At 36.2% G+C, this 16,840-nt stretch overlaps 1 protein-coding gene across 3 annotated transcripts in view, besides 5 other annotated features; it reads right to left on the reverse strand.

The window, feature by feature from the left end:
- EYS (eyes shut homolog) overlaps positions 1-16,840 on the reverse strand; it is a 1,987,247-nt gene that overhangs the window by 1,918,234 nt on the left and 52,173 nt on the right. For all 3 annotated transcript variants that reach the window (NM_001142800.2, NM_001292009.2, NM_001142801.2), the window contains exon 2: positions 1,565-1,679. The gene's annotated coding sequence lies outside the window, so the exon portion shown is untranslated. The remainder of the gene's footprint in view (positions 1-1,564; positions 1,680-16,840) is intronic.
- Positions 16-516: an enhancer, noted in NCBI's record as "H3K4me1 hESC enhancer chr6:66348122-66348622 (GRCh37/hg19 assembly coordinates)". NCBI's record gives its function as "activates a minimal SCP1, AML or CMV promoter by ChIP-STARR-seq in primed H9 embryonic stem cells {active_cell/tissue: H9 hESC(primed)}" and the evidence as "EXISTENCE:reporter gene assay evidence [ECO:0000049][PMID:30033119]".
- Positions 16-1,017: a biological region, named in NCBI's record as "H3K4me1 hESC enhancers GRCh37_chr6:66348122-66348622 and GRCh37_chr6:66348623-66349123".
- Positions 188-357: an enhancer, noted in NCBI's record as "experimental_93288 CRE fragment used in MPRA reporter constructs". NCBI's record gives its function as "activates a minimal promoter by MPRAs in K562 erythroleukemia cells, with activity observed for the introgressed 6:66348379 variant allele {active_cell/tissue: K562}" and the evidence as "EXISTENCE:reporter gene assay evidence [ECO:0000049][PMID:34662402]".
- Positions 431-600: an enhancer, noted in NCBI's record as "experimental_93297 CRE fragment used in MPRA reporter constructs". NCBI's record gives its function as "activates a minimal promoter by MPRAs in K562 erythroleukemia cells, with activity observed for both the introgressed and non-introgressed 6:66348622 variant alleles {active_cell/tissue: K562}" and the evidence as "EXISTENCE:reporter gene assay evidence [ECO:0000049][PMID:34662402]".
- Positions 517-1,017: an enhancer, noted in NCBI's record as "H3K4me1 hESC enhancer chr6:66348623-66349123 (GRCh37/hg19 assembly coordinates)". NCBI's record gives its function as "activates a minimal SCP1, AML or CMV promoter by ChIP-STARR-seq in primed H9 embryonic stem cells {active_cell/tissue: H9 hESC(primed)}" and the evidence as "EXISTENCE:reporter gene assay evidence [ECO:0000049][PMID:30033119]".

Genomic DNA, 16,840 nt, shown 5'->3' on the forward strand with positions numbered 1-16,840 from the left:
CCTGTCTGCAGAAAGGAGCGATCCACTAGGGGTCTCCTCTGAGCTGTTCTGTTGCTCAGTAAAGCTCCTCTCCACCTTGCTCACCCTCCAGTTGTCCGCATACCTCATTTTTTTAAGAGGCAGGACAAGAAGTCAAGACCAACTGAATGGTGGGAATGAAAGAGCTGTAACACAAACAGGGCTGAAACTCCCCCCGATCGCCATGCTGTGGGCGATGAAAAGGAGAGAAGAGCTGAAGAGGCCCTTTGGGGACGCCAGACCTAGGGGCTCCCCGAGCCAGGGCCGTGACACCCTCTTTGGGGCTCTGTGGTTCCTGGCGTCTCGAAGCTTCTGGGTGCCACCGCAGTCCCCTCATCCAGACACAGGTGCCCACAGTGGAAGCTGCTTGTGGTACATCTGATCCAGCCACAGCCTTACACAGAGCCCGCACCTGTGCCGGTGCCTGGAGCTGCCCACCGCGCTGCAGCAGCCAGCATGCCTGGCTGTGCGCAGTGGGTGGACCCCACGCTCACTTTCTCACATATCCCTTGCCACTCCATGCCTGGCTTACCCTTGGCCGGCGTGGGATCCTAGCCGGTGGTGCAAGCCAAGCACAGCCTGGCAGGCTGACTGGGCAGAACGAGCCAGTGGGCCCAAGCAAAACTCAGGCAAACGTGCCACTGGCCACAGAGGTTTCCAGCTGGAAAAGCAACACCCTAAGGAACTCAAGACAGCAGTGTTGCCAAGATTTTAATTTAGAAATTGTGAAGTCACACAATACCCTCTTAATTACCATGCTCTATATTCTCCTAGCTGCTCTGTAGAAAAAAGTTCAGACAAAACAAATAGTAACATGATTGAAATGGAGATTGGCAGGATACTAGAACAAGCAGATATCAAGCTACTTCAGAACAATATCCTCTTAGTTGCCAAATCTAAGAGAAAAAGTAAATAAGCTCATAATAAAATACAGAGAACAAAAAACCTGAGAATGTATGATTAAGATAATATCAATATGAGAAAATACTACATTTAAAACTAGTTGTCAGTGGAAGGAGGAGTAGAGAAAGGAAGAGAATAGAACTCTATTAAGTCAAGTTTCAGGAAGAATTTTCCAGTCTGAATAAATAAGATAAGTTATTAGGGAAGTAATAAAGGGTCACTTCTAGAAGAATAAAAACCTGTATATGTTTATCCATTAACTCAAAAAAAAATTATTCAATCCTTTCATCTTGAAAGAGAAAGAGATGCATTTAATAATGGATTATTTAAATGCATCTCTTTCTCTTTCCAAGGCCCAAATAATGTTATCACAAAGTAACACCAACAATGTGAAAACCCATAGAATTGTGACTACAAAAATTGAGATATTTCAGCACACTTTTAGCGGATCTAAAGTGAATTTAAGAGGTAGGAACCATTTAGTAGAGCCAAAAACGATAAAACCTGAAATTCTCTAGAGTAGGATGTTAATGAATGGTGAAAGATTCTGAATAAGGAAGCAAAAATTGCCATGGAAAGCAGGGAATGAGGCAAGATTATAAAAACACAGAACCTGTTTTTTCCTCAGGACTCTTATCCTTACCTCAAGTACACAGGTTCCGTTGCTGTTTGAGATCAGTGTTTTATTTGCTAAATAAATATGGAGCAGAGGATCCAGACTTGACTCCCCAGGTGTAAGAGAAGAGTGAGGCACAAAGCTGGAAAAAAAGAAATAAGAAAAATTATTTTATCTTTCAGTTTCTTCTCATCATCCCTAAGCTCTCCCACATCTTATGGAGGGATATAATCCCCTCCTTTCAGATTAGCCAGTATCCTGCCTTTAGCTATAGTCCTACATTTATTGTCTGTGTAATTACTGAGAGAAATAAGATGGTAATTAACTTTCAAAATGGGCAGTATACCTGTAACAAAGTCTTTGAAAGCAACTGACATACAAAAATTCTACAAATAAAAGTAAGTGTAAGCTCAAATAATACAATAGTACATTATTTATAGAATAATGCTTTTCCCATTCCATTGTATTTTAAACCTATGAACCCAAATGCCATACTGGAAAGAAATGTTAGGGAAATGTCAGCAGTAATTCAGTGGGTCCATGAAAGGGCTTCAACTTGGCAGGAAACCTCTAAAATTATATGCAGGATCATATTTGTATTTTCATAGTGATGGTTTTCATGAGAGTATCTCTAAATGAATTTCAAAAATAATTCTTTCATTAAAAAGAGTTTTTTTTTTCCTTTAGGAAACTTTTTAATACATAGGCTATCCGTGAAATATGTATATGTCTTCAGTTGCTGTTGAAAGCAAAATCAGCTACTCCTCTGTCTGAAAAGTATTTTACTTCATCTTCATTCTTGAAGGGTATTTTCAAGGCATATAGAATTCAAGGTTGGGAGTTTTGCTGTTATTGTTCTTTCTGTGTTGTTCTGGGTTTTTATTTGGCATGTTGAGAATATCATTTTACTGTTTTCTGACTTTTATTGCTGCTATTGACAAGTCACCTTTCAACTTAATATTTTCTCTTGGGCCATTTTTTAAGATTTTTTTATGGTGTATTTGATGAGGTACAGTTTCATTATAATGTTTCTAGTTGTGGATTTATTTTTATTTCTTTTTTCCTGAAATTACTTAGGATCCTTGACTCTATGGATTTCTGTCATTGACCATTTCTGAAAAATTATCAGCCACAATTTTTTTTTTACCCTTGGCCAGTAAAATTTATTATCTGTGCCCTATTTCTTTTTTTCTCCTCTTAGGACTTCTGTTGAAATAATGTTACATTTTCTCACTCTGTCCTGTATATACTTTATTCTCTTCCTGTATTTTCCTTTTATTTCTTTGTCTCCCATGCTTGTGGTGTTTTTTACAGTGTAAACTTAGCTTAGCTAGAAATATGTTTTCCATATGTGCTTCCCTATATGCTTCCAGGTTATAGTGGGCCAAAATAGAAGTTGGTACATGATTTGGAAAGTGGAGAGGAAGCAACAGCCATAACCTCTGTTGGTTGTTTTGGTGTTAGGCTGTAAGAACCAGAAGCATCAACGCTCAGAGAAGCAAATTCAAAATTAACCATACTCTTCCCAACTCTGCATTTGTAATATTCACCTGCTAGCCCTATTGACCAAGAGTGACCTCAGGCCTACTCCATCTCAGATGCAAAGGCAATACCCTGACACAGATGTCTCCACTAGTTCTCCTTAATGGTCCCATTCTGCAAGTCAGCCATGCCTGGTTTCTGAGATCTCTGGCAAGTTCTAATTTGTCCACCCATACTGGTTCTTCAGAGAGGAGGAGAGCAAATTTTTCTGATCCTCTAACTCACCCATTCTGACCCTTACTTACCCAGTGTCTTGTGTAGTTGTCTAAAGTTTTAGTGCTATAATAAATGTCCTATTCTGTATTACTTACAGTGGTAGTGCTCACATGGTTGAACTTTGTCTGTACTGCGTACTGTTTTACTGCACTCTTTTTAAGAACACTAACTTCACATCCTTGTATATAATTAGCTATGAGGTCTATGCAATGAATTTTTAATTTATTAAATTTTGGAGATCTTTATGTTCTTTATATCCTTTTTTACATCTGTAGCATCACATTTTATTTCCCTGTTTCTGTTGATGTCCTTAACTTTTGTCTTTGACTTCTTTAAGTTAAAAAGCTTAAGAGTTTCTTCTGCCTTGACCTCCTGGGCTCTAGTGGTCTTTCTGGCCTGGAATTAGTCATCTCACAGAGTAATCCACGAAAAGATTTAGAAACAACTGAGCTCGAACCAAAGCTTGGACCAGTTCCTAAGTAATAAATAAGTTCTCCTTGTTTAACATCACACTAGATTGTAAAGTCCTTATAAAAAATAGATTTGCTTATTTTATCCATAACTGAATATATAGGGCCTCGAGGAGTTCTGAGTATCTGAGAGGTACTCAATACATATTTGTTGAATAAAAGCATGGCCAAAAAAGGATAAATTATTTTGTGCTCTCCCTGATGATTTCAATAGGATGTACTTCTGGGTCTATTTATTTTGTTGTTTGTGTTTCGGTGGGTACATGCTTTTGGTGTGTTTTTACTTTATGTACCTGGCTACCTTTGATCGAGCTAAGCATTACACATAATTAACTGTATAATTAAGCATAATTAAGCACTGCATAATTATTTGTAGGAATAATTAGAGGACTGAGATGAAGGAAAGCCTTCATCCAGAGAGGATTTCTGTTTGTTTCAGTCAACGGGGGCATTACTTGTCCTCAGTCACATTCAACAATTTGAATACGTTAGATTACTGAAGCCTCCAGACTTTTAAAATTGGGCTACAATTCTTCAAGAAAGCCAATCATTTTATTTTTTTTTATTCACCTTTGTCCCAAAGGTGTATTTATTAGGTAGCAACTTATTGTGGGACACTTACCTGTTAGACTCTTCATTTTGTTCTATATTTTTTAACTATAGATAGGTCAATACAAATATTCACATTTATGTAACTAACAAATACTTCTATTAGTTCTAGTTTTCCCTGTGATTTCAGTCTAATAAGTATTTCTTTTCTTACAAGACCTGCAGTGATTTTAAGAAGATATTTTAAAATATATCTTACGCAGATTTTTAGAAGTTTTTAATAGAATTGTTTGTACAAACAATCCTCCCATTATGGGAAACACCTAGCCTCCAGAAAATAACTTTAAGAATAATTTAGAGAGCTTTGATTAAAAATGTAGATAGGAGGCAGGACTAGCTTGCAGTTCCTGCTTGGACAGACAGAGCAGTGTGTGAAGACTTACATCATAAAATTTTGCTCCAAGAACTACCACAGGAAAATACCAGGAAAGCTGAGAGAATTATCTGACCCTTTGAAGGAACTGGATTGCTACTGCAGGCTCCCTGAGATGCCAAAACATTGTGAGTGTACTTGCTTTCTCAGCAGGGATGCTGGTGGTCTGAGGCAAGTTCTCAGCCCTGGTCACCAGCTGCCTAAAAATAGACTCAGTGTTGTTGGGGGGACACAGTGGGAGTAAGACTGGCCTTTAGGACTGTGGGCTGTGTGGGAGCAGGGTGAGTCCTGCGACTGCTGACTTTCCCCCACTTCTTTGGTGACCTGTACGACTCAGCAGAGGCAACCTAATACACCTGGGAATATAACTCCATTGGCCTGGGAACCACATTCCCATTCCACACAGCAGCTGCAGCAAGCCCCACCCAAGGAGAGCCTGAACTAAGACATGCCTATCCCTGCTACCACCCGGTGGTCTTTCTCTAACCAGTGTAGTTGCCAAAGAAAAAGGACATAATCTCTTGGGAGCTCTATGGCCTTGTCCACTGGCTGAGAAACCTGAATACTTAACCAGACATTCCTAGGGCAAGTTTGCATCCTCCCTATAGTACCACAGCTGATGCACTCTTGAAAGTGCCACCTCCTGCCTGGAGGGCAACCAACACAAAACCAGTGCACTGAACAAAAACACAACCAAAGACCCTCACAGAGTCCACCTCACTCCCCTACTATCTCCACCAGAGCAGGTTACTGGTATCCACAGCTGAAAGACCTGAAGATGAATCACATCAGAGGACTCTCCAGTACCAGCCCAGAGCTCAGTACCTCTGCTTGGTGGCTAGATCCAAAAAAGCGAAAACAATCACTGAAGTTCACCTCTCAAGAAGCCCTATCCCTAGGGGGAGGGGGTACAAGAATACCACATCAAGGGAGCACGCGGTGGGACAAAAAAATCTGAACAGCAGCTCTTGAGTCCCAGATCTTCCCTCTGACATAGTCTACCCAATGAGAAGAAAACATAAAAACAATTCTGGTAACATGACAAAACAAGGTTTTTTAACACCCTTAAAAGATCATACCAGCTCACTAGCAATGGATCCAAACCAAGATGAAATCTCTGAATTGCCAGAAAAAAATTCAGAAGGTTGATTATTAAGCTCATCAATGAGGCATCAGAGTAAAGTGAAATCCAACTTGAAATCAAAAACATGATACAGGTTATTAAAGAAAAAACCTTCAGTGAAATAGATAGCATAAATAAAAACAATCACAACTTATAGAAAGAAGGATACACTTAGAGAAATCCAAAGTGTACTGGAAAGTCTCAGCAATAGAATAGAACAAGCAAAAGAAAGAACTTCAGAGCTTGAAGACAAGGCTTTCAAATTAACCCAATCCATCAAAGACAAAAAAGTAATAAATAAATGAACAAAGCCTACAAAAAGTTTGGGACTATGTTAAGCATTCAAACCTAAGAATAATTGGTGTTTCCGTGGAAGAAGAGAAATCAAAAAGTTTGGAAAACATACCTGAGAGAACAATCAAAGACAACATCCCCAGCCTTGCTAGAGATCTAGACATCCAAATACAAAACACTCAAAGAACACCTGGGAAATTCATCGCAAAAAGATCATTGCCTAGGCACATAGTCATTAGGTTATCTGAAGTCAAGACAAAGGAAAGAATCTTAACAGCAGTGAGGCAAAAGCATCACGTAACCTATAAAGAAAAACCTATCAGATTAACAGCAGATTTCTCAGCAGAAATCCTGCAAGCCAGAAGAGATTGGGGGTCCTATTTTTAGCCTCCTTAAACAAAACAATTATCAGCCGAGAATTTTGTATCCACTGAAATAAGCTTTATAAATGAAGGAAAGATACAGTCTTTTCCAGTCAAACAAAAGCTGTGAGAATTCGCCACTACCAAGCCAGCACTACAAGAACCGCTAAAAGGAGTGATAAGACTTCAAAATAAACCAAAATAGAACCTCCTTAAAGCATAAATCTCACAGGACTTATATAACAATAACACAATGAAACAAACAAGGTATTCAGGCAACAAATAGCATGATGAATAGGATAATAATACCTCACATCTCAGTACTAATGTTGAAAATGAACTAATATAGGGACTTTAGCACTCCACTGACAGCACTAGACAGGTCATTAAGATACAAAGTCAACAAAGAAACAATGGACTTAGACTATACCCTACAGCAAATGGATTTAATAGATATTTACAGAACATTCTACCCAACAACTGCAGGATATACATTCTGTTCATCAGCATATGGAACATTCTACAAGATAAACCATATGATAGGCCACAAATAAGTCTCAGTAAATTTAAGAAAATCAAAATTATATAAAGTACTCTCTCAGACCACAGTGGAATAAAACTAGAAATCAACTCCAAAAGGAACCTTCAAAACCATGCAAATACATGGAAATTAAATAAACTGTTCCTGATTGATCAGCAGTCAACAATAAAGTGAAGATGGATATTAAAAACGTTTTGAACTGAATAATAGTGACACAACCTATCTAACCCTCTGGGATACGGCAAAAGTGGTGCTAAGAGGAATGTTCATAGGATTCAATGCCTATATCAAAAAGTCTAAAAGGGCACAAATAGACAATCTAAGGTCACACCTCATGGAACCAGAGAAACAAGAACCATACAAACTCAAACAGAGCAGAAGAAAATAAATAATGAATATAAGATCAGAACTAAATGAAACTGAAACAAAAAAACTACAAAAGATAATGAAACAAAAAGCTAGTTATTTGAAAAGAGAAATAAAATTGATAGGCTGTTAGTGAGATTAACCAAGAAAAGAAGAGAGAAGTTTGAAGTATGCTCAATTAGAGATGAAATGGGAGATATTACTATTGATACCACAGAAATACAAAAGATTATTCAAGTCTACTACGAACACCTTTATGCACATAAACTAGAAAACCTAGAGGAGATGGTTAAATTCCTGGAAAGAAACAACTCTCCTAGAATATACCAGGAAGATAAAGAAACTCTGAACAAACCAATAACAAGCAGCGAGATTGAAATGGTAATAAAAAAAATTCCCAGCTAAAAAAAGTGCGGAATCAGATGGATTCACAGCTGAATTCCTTCAGACATTCAAAGAAGAATTCAAACGAATTCTACTGATACTATTCCACAAAGTAAAGAAAGACGGAATCCTCCCTAAATCATTCTATAAAGCCAGTATCACCCTAATACCAAAACCAGAGAAGGACATCACAACTACAACAAGAACAAAAAAACTGCAGACCAATATCCCTGTTGAGCACAAGGACAAAATACTAGCTAATGAAATGCAACATCATATTAAAAAGATAATCCACTATGATCAAGTGGGTTTATACCAGGGATGCAGGGATGGTTTAATATCTGCAAGTCAATAAATGTGATACCCAACATAAACAGAATTAAAAACGAAAGTCACATGATTATATCAATAGATGCAGACAAAGCATTTGATAAAATACAGCATCCTTTATGAATAAAACCTTCAACAAAAGTGGAATAGAAGGGACATACCTTAAGGTAATAAAAACCATCTATGACATACCCACAGCCAACATTATACTGCATGGGAAGAAGCTGAATGCATTCCTTCTGAGAACCAGAACACGACTAGCATGCCCACTTTCACCACTTCTATTCAACACAGTACTTGAAGTTCTAGCTAGAGCAATCAGACCAGAAAGAGATAAAAGACATCCAATTTGGTAAAGAGGAAGTCAAACTGTCACTGTCTGCTGATATGATCGTATACCTAGAAAACCCTAAAGACTTATCTAAAAAGCTCCTAGAACTGATGAATGACTCAGCAAAGTTTCAGGATACAAAATTAATGTACACAAATCAGTAGCTTTGCTATACACCAGCAGCGACCAAGCTAAGAATCAAATTAAGAACCACTTTTACAATAACAGCATAAAAAATAAAATACTTCAAAAAATACCTAACCAAGAAGATGAAAGACCTCTGCAAGGAAAACTACAAAACACTACTGAAAGAAATCACAGACGATACAAACAAATGGAAACACATTCCATGCTCATCTCATGGGTAGAATCGAAATCATGAAAATGACCATACTGCCAAAAGCAACCTACAAATTAAATGCAATGCTCATTAAAATACCACCATCATTCTTCACAGAACTAGAAAAAACAATCTGAAAAATTTATACGGAACTAAAACAGAGGCCATATAGCTAAAGCCAGACTAAGCAAAAAGAATAAATCTGCAGGTATCACATTACCTGACTTCACACTATACTATAAAGCCATAGTCACCAAAACAGCATGGTACAGGTATAAAAATAGGCACATAGACCAATGGAACAGAATATATAACCCTGAAATAAAGCCAAATATTTACAGCCAACTGATCTTTGACAAAGCAAACAAAAACATAAAGTGGGGAAAGGACAAACTATTCTACAAATGATGCTGGGATAATTGGCAAGCCACATGTAGAAGAATGAAGCTGGATCCTCATCTCTCACCTTATATAAAAATCAACTCAAGATGCATCAAAGTCTTAAATGTAAGACCTGAAACCATAAAGATTCTAGAATATAACATCAGAAAAACCATTGCAGACATTGGCTTTGCCAAAGAGTTCATGACTAAGAACTCAAAAGCAAATGCCACAAAAACAAAGATATTGTAAATAGATGGGAGTTAATTAACCAAAAAGCTTTTGCTCAACAAGATAAATAATTAGCAGAGTTAACAGACAACCCAGTAATTGGGGGTAAATTTTCACAATTTATATATCCAACAAAGGACTAATATGCAGAATCTACAAAGAACTCAAACAAATCAGTGAGAAACAAACAAAAAAACAAACAAAATCTTAGCAAAATGTGGGCTAAGGACATGAAAAGACAATCCTCAAAAAAAGATATACAAATGGCCAGCAAACATATAGAACAATGCGTAACATCACTAATTATCAGGAAAATACAAATCAAAACCACGATGTGCTACCATCTTACTGCTGCAAGAATGGCCAAAATAAAATAAAAAATAATAGATCTTGGCGTGGATGTGGTGAAAAGGAAACACTTTTACACTGTTGGTGGGAATGTAAACTAATACGACCACTATGGAAAACAATGTGGAGATTCCTTAAAGAATTAAAAGTAGATCTACCATTTGATCACGCAATTCCATTACTAGGTATCTACCCAGAGGAAAATAAGTCATTATAACAAAAAGATACTTGCACGCACATGTTTATAGCAGCAGAATCTGCAATTGCAAAAAATGGAATGAACCCAAATGTCCATCAATCAATGAGTGGATAAAGAAAATATATGTGTGTGTGTGTGTGTGTGTGTGTGTGTGTGTGTGTATACCATAGAATACTACACAGCCATAAAAAGGAATGAAATAATGGTATTTGCAGCAACCTGGATGGTATTGGAGACTATTATTCTAAGTGAAGTAACTCAGGAATGGAAAGCCAAACATCGTATGTTCTCATTCATATGTGGGAACAGAGCTATGAGGACACAAAGGCATAAGAATGATACAATAGACTTTGGGGACTTGGGAGAAATGGTGGGAGGGTCGTGAGGAGTAAAAGAGTACACATTGGGTACATTGTACACTGCTTGGGTGATGGGTGCACCAAAATCTCAGAAATCACCATTAGAGTACTTATTCATATAACCAAACACCACCTGTTCCCCAAACACCTATTGAAATAAAAAAAAAATCAATTTATAAAACAAACAGAGAAAAGGGAAGAAAAAAGAAAACAACCTTCATTCACATTTAACTGAAATTGGTGGCTGAACAACGCACTATTCCACCTAGGCTTTTACACATGTAAGAAAGGGAACAAAAGATTTTTAAAAAGTGTCCAGGCCTGGTGGCTCATGCCTGTAATCCCAGCACTTTGGGAGGCTGAGGAGAAGGTAGATCACGGGGTCAGGAGATAGAGACCATCCTGGCTAACATGCTGATACCCCATCTCTACTAAAAATACAAAAAATTAGCTGGGCATGGTGGCACACACCTGTAGTCTCAGCTACTCGGGAGGCTGAGGCAGGAGAATCACTTGAACCTGGGAGGCCAGTGAGCTGAGATCGCGCCACTGCACTCCAGCCTGTGCGACAGAGCGAGACTCTGTCTCAAAAAAAAAAAAAAAAAAAAAGGAAAAAAGAAAAACTTAAACAATAAAAATTGACATTACTTGCAAGACCCAACTATTTTCTATGATTTCCTTTATTCTAGCAAGAGTTTTGTATGTGTTTTGTTTTGTTTGTTTTGTTTTCAAGATTGGACGCCTTTTCAAAGACCTTAACCTATGTGTTTGTGCATAATGTGTATAGCATAGGTTCTTTTCTGAAAGTGTGTCCAATCTTAAAACACACACACACACACATACACACATCCATGTGCATTTGTAATAACTGAAACTAAAAGAAGCTGATTACTAAGAATATAATGAACCTTATTGTTTACTCTTCATCAAACATATAATCATCAAATATCCATTTAAATTATAAATAAAAATAAGTGATTTCATAAGATAAGTTTGATGCCAGAAACGAGGATTGAACTGGTTTGATCCATGAAATGCTGATACATGCAAAATAGAACTCCATTTGTAATTTCTTTAAAGTAATACTCCATTCTTTTTTATTAGACCATTGATGAGTTCGCTCCTTTCTCTAGATCAGAACTATTTAGATTGTTTTTTTACAAATTCAGTATGAAGGAATTTGTTTTTTAATAGGTGTGAATAGCATCGATGTAATGATGTGTCATTGAGCCCCACATTTCTGTCACTAGAGTGGTAAAATGACACAGAGGATGAACCAAAAGTCACCTGTAGATGACAATGGGTGAAAGAAAACACATTTAATTTACATAGAAACATACAGAATGTCAAAAGAGTTAAAATTCATGAATAAAATTTCATTAAAAATGCATTCTAAAATATTAGTTAAATATACACTACTTAAGAATGATTTAAAACTAGCATTAAATGTATTAAAATGGATATATTTTGCAGGAAAAGGATGCCTGTGTTTTCAGTGTTTTATCTGAATTATTTAATGGTTTACAAAACTTTCTGTGAATGAAGGGAAAGCAGTTTTTTATCTGAGTATTCTCAGTGTTATCTGAGCATTCTCATTGCCTACATAACTTATTCTGAATGAAGGCAGGCAAAATAGAGAGAAAAGACTGAGTATCTATACCATATAATACTTTAAATAGAAAACATTAGCCCTTTGTTACATATCTATAGGCTGAATAAGAACTCAAACACAGCTCTTCCAACTCAACACACAATGCTCTCTTTGAGGTCTGAAGGTTATAAGGCTATACTCATAACAGATTCTCAGTCTCACAATTAAACTAAAATCTAGGCTTGAAGAGATTAACACTATTTAGCATGCCAGGCTGGGTTGTAACACAGTAGCCATATATTTATTTTATTTCATTTTGATTTTAGACCTGCAGTGTATTGCCAGACCCCAGGTGAGTTTGAAATATTGCAATGGTTATTTCAGAATACTTTGTGTGGCTTTACTGTCATTTATGTTAAAGGTAAACAGGATTCTCTGCTCGATCATTGACATCAAAGGCAAAAACGAATGATAAATTATTTTCCCTCTATTCTTGCATTTTGAGACAATTTTTGTTGAAGTTCAAATTTACAAGCGTTTCGGGAGGATGTTTTCTTCTGGGGAAACAACATTCACAGCAGTCCAGACTGAGGGTACACAGAGAGCAAAAACAGCTCTAGCTGCTGAGTGTCCTGCTTATACTCTCACATTTGCCCATCTACTAATCTCTATTACTGTTTTATCTTATTTTTACAGATCCTACATATCTAGGAGGTTCCTTTTAAAATGCAAATAAAATATCTAAATGGGAGTGTCACTGACTTCATTATCATTCATCAACACCATAACAGGGATTATTTTATCACATTAGTTTGCTTCAGAGAGTTGAGCTGCAAGAAAATGGGACTGAATTCACTTATGTTTTGAAAATGAAAGTGCTGGATAACAAGGTAGCAGTTTTCAACAAATTTAAATATAAAAACCTTTATTAATATAATAAAATGTCTAATGTCTATTAAATTATATAGTGGCAAAAGTCTTAGAGAATTCAGGGACATGTTAATATTATCAATTATAAATTGTACTAGAGAAAGCTACTCCAAATGGGTGGAAATCAAAGAAGCTGATCATTTTCCAAGGAATGACCTTGCATGCTTTTACCTAAAGGAACTGTTTAAATTTTTAGATCAGAAAAATAAGTGAAAAAAAACAGAAGAATGGTCTAAAATATATATACTTATTTAATGTTACTGTCAGAAAATATAGGCTTGTAAGAGAGCTTGGATTTCAATTTTAGAAAGAAACTTCGGTTTCTTTGGAGACAATGTTTATATTAATTCAATAGTGTTTCTGTACATATATATCTGATATTGACTGCCATTGTCTCTTCTATAACTTTCTTTGAGTCCTAGGTTTATATTTAATCTTATGATATCTTCATGTATATCTCCTATAAATATTTCAAACTTAAATTTTTAAAAGCATAAGACATCATTTCCCCTCTCCAGTTGCAAAACTCTTCCTTCTTTGTAAATGAATGAATAATACAGCAACCACTAGAGGATGCAGGCTAGAATCTTGGAAGTCTTACTTTATTTCTTCTCTTATCTCATTATGTCCTTACTTTCATGTTTACTTTTGAAACTATCCAGTTCTCTCTTTTTCTGTAAAAAATCCAGAGTCTCCTATCATCCAGTCAAAATTTCTGCTGTAGTTGTGTAACCAGTCTCTTTAATCCAAGGTATATTTTCAGTGCTATATTAGCAGTCATACTGAAAAAATAAACTAACCATTGTTATTTGGGATAATTTATTATGCAGTAATAAATAACTAATACGCTAAATTGAGAACTCCTGGAAAGAGAGAAAAACATATAAAAGATTCTTTTTTTTTACACTAAATCCCTAGGCTCCATCTCACTTTGATGGTATTAGACACAATAGAAGCTCCATTTTTTTCTGATGTATGTAGAATTAAAATAAATAAAAGCAAAACATCAATAATTAAAACAACTATAAAAATGTGTAGCTCAAACTAGAGGGAAGCTGGAATGGCTTGAGGAAGGAAAATGATAAATGAAATCAAAGAATTGATTCATGTGAAATAAAAGAAAAATGCTTTTTGCAAACAATACTGCTGACTAAAGGGTATACATCTTATGAAATGAAATAATTTATTTTTTTGCTCACTGAACACTATGATGGAGTTATAGATGCAGAAGTAATTTTGTAGTTGACTTTGAAAATTGTTTTGAAAAGTAGAAGAAACGAGTTAGATGTTTATTGAGGCAATTGGAGGAAAAATTGTGCTGAAGTTAAGGAGGATAGGGAGGAGGAGACAGGAAGAGAAAGAAAATATCCCAGAGAAGTGTAATGGTGGTGGCATTGGATGGCTTGTTGGTGTCACTTTTTTCATATTTTGAAATTTTTTAATGTATGTTCAAATCACAGAAAGGACTGATTCCACTTCTGTGTAGTTAGTGTAAATATAGAGAGCACCTACTCAGTGAAAAGAAAATTAATAAGCTTGAATAATTTAGAAGAAGATGGAACTCTTAGCTAGAGGTCACTAAAAAAAGAGAACATCAGGAATGTAAAGACATACTAGGGAGAATATTGAACTTTCCCCTAAAATACAGTAAAATTTTGAGCTGATATTGTCTAGATCTTTAAGGCAGGAAGGGTGCAGATGAAATATCAGTTATCTAATATCAACATGAGCTTAGTTTAATGAATCATGAGATTGTACTTATGTTAAATAACTACATTTTGAATCAGTGATAACTATCCAGGATATAAGAAATCATTTATTTTCCATAACAGGACTGTAATGCAGAGGTTTGGCTACACAGATGATGGAGAAGCCAAATATCTCCCAGTAGGAAGTCACTACCAATACTAATTAGGAGGGATAAACGAAGAGGAGGTTCAACCTAAGCCAGAAGATAGTGTTAACAGGCAGAAGCTACAATCATGTGGACATGTCCTGAAAAAGTGGGAGCCACAAAGGATACACAGATTCTGGATACTACCTAATTCAGAGAGAAAGGGCGAGGGAGAGAGAAATACCCTGTGTTTTCTATTTCTTCACTTAATTTTTATCTGTGCCTACCTTTGTCCAAAACCACCCAGAAGCAGATGACAGGGTTGCCCAGAAAATACAAGATTATCAGTCCTGTTACACAGAGCACAGCAAGAAAAGAACAAATCATTGGTCAAACACACCCAGGATGGGCATAGTTTATATGTAAGGGGGACCAAATTATCAAATAACTTGATAAAAAGAGTGAATCTAGAGATATAAAGTAACAATGAAGATAAAATTGCCACCAAACAAGTTTGCCTAGCACAAGCTTTGATATACACTGATTTCAGAGCCCCATTAGGATACTGGTGCCACTGAGACAATTAAATTTCAGAACCCATTTAATTTTATACAGGAACCCACTTCAGCTCAGATATCATATCATTGCCGTATTCACAACATTTAAATTGATTTGCGGGCAATCCAACTTTTAATTCTGACTCATGTAAGTCTTCTAGATTTACAGCAACACCATGTTGAACTGCACTGGTTTGTCATCTCTCCCATTCCAGGATCTGTTTATATTCAGCACTGTATCTCAAGGACAGGCAAATAGAGTCAGATTTTTGACATAGCCGAAGAGTGGTGACTTTAGAGAACCCTATTTCCTCTTATAAGAGCTTTTTAGGAAATAACCAGTTACTAGCAGGTTTAATGCATTGGCAAAGTCCAAGTGTCCTCTACATCTCACATCCTTTGTGTCATCTATAAGGACATAGGAAGGCAACTTCCAGAAGCAAAAATATGTCTGTATCTTCTGCCCTCACTTTTTAGGTCAACACAGCCACCACAACCCGAGCTGCCATTTTCATTTCCTGCCATGGATATCTGACAGTCCTTCATACTGAAGAAAAGTAAGTTTCATTGATATAAAAAGTTATAGGATTATTAGAAGTATTTATACTTATTTTTGTTTTTAGCATGCCCACTAAATACTTCAGAGTTAGTCATAAATTGACAAGACAACCCCTCGGCTTTACTCATTTCATTATTTATTAGTTCTCAAAACAATTTTCTCAAAGTGTGAAAGTTTCTTTTAAAAAAGGTAGCATGAAACTATTTCAGCCAGAAATAGCCTATGAATTCATAGTATATGTGTCACTTTCCTTTGCCTTTCTGTAATAGTTACTCACAGACCTGAGCTTCTGTAATTGGCTTATTTTATTACTTGGAATAAATAAGATTGTATACAAGAAATCCTGTAGGAGAGGAAAACACAACTCTTGGGCGTGGATATTATTCTTTGACAACCCAAAGATTTTTCCAAATGGTTAATAAATGGACCATTATCTTATTTACTCTTGAGGAAACTTCTTTTCCAGCATCTGAGGTAATGACTTCCCAGTTTTTGACCTGCCACTGTAAGGTTTAAATTTGGTTTTCCTCAAAACTGATAGATATCAGAAATTACATCTAAAGTGTTAAAGATTCTGAGCTACATAGTACTGGGTGTCAAAAGGTTACAGAGACATCCCTATACCAGCTGAGAGTCCATTAAAAAGGTCACTCACTTCTGTTCTCACAAGTATTGTTCACTGAATTGAGTCAAGAAACGCTCAATAAAAGGGAAAAAGAACTAAAATTGTTCCTGAGAATTACCTGACAAAAGTGAGATCACCGAAAGAAATGATTTAGGACCATACCACGGAGAGACACAAAGTGGTACCAGAGACCAGCTCATTAAGTTTACCATATACAACTATGGTAATTTGTTTTTAAAAGATATTCTAAAACAGGTAAGTCAAAGTTTCACATATGGAAATATGTCCAAATTAAAATGTGCTTGTCTTCCTGAAGAGTCTGGGTCATTCATTAAAAAAAAAAAAAAAAAAAAAAATGTTTGTCCAAGATTTTAGAGCAGGAATAAAATATCTTCATGAGAATTACTT

The sequence above is a fragment of the Homo sapiens genome, chromosome 6, assembly GCF_000001405.40.
Source record: "Homo sapiens chromosome 6, GRCh38.p14 Primary Assembly".
Taxonomy (NCBI): Eukaryota; Metazoa; Chordata; class Mammalia; order Primates; family Hominidae; genus Homo; species Homo sapiens.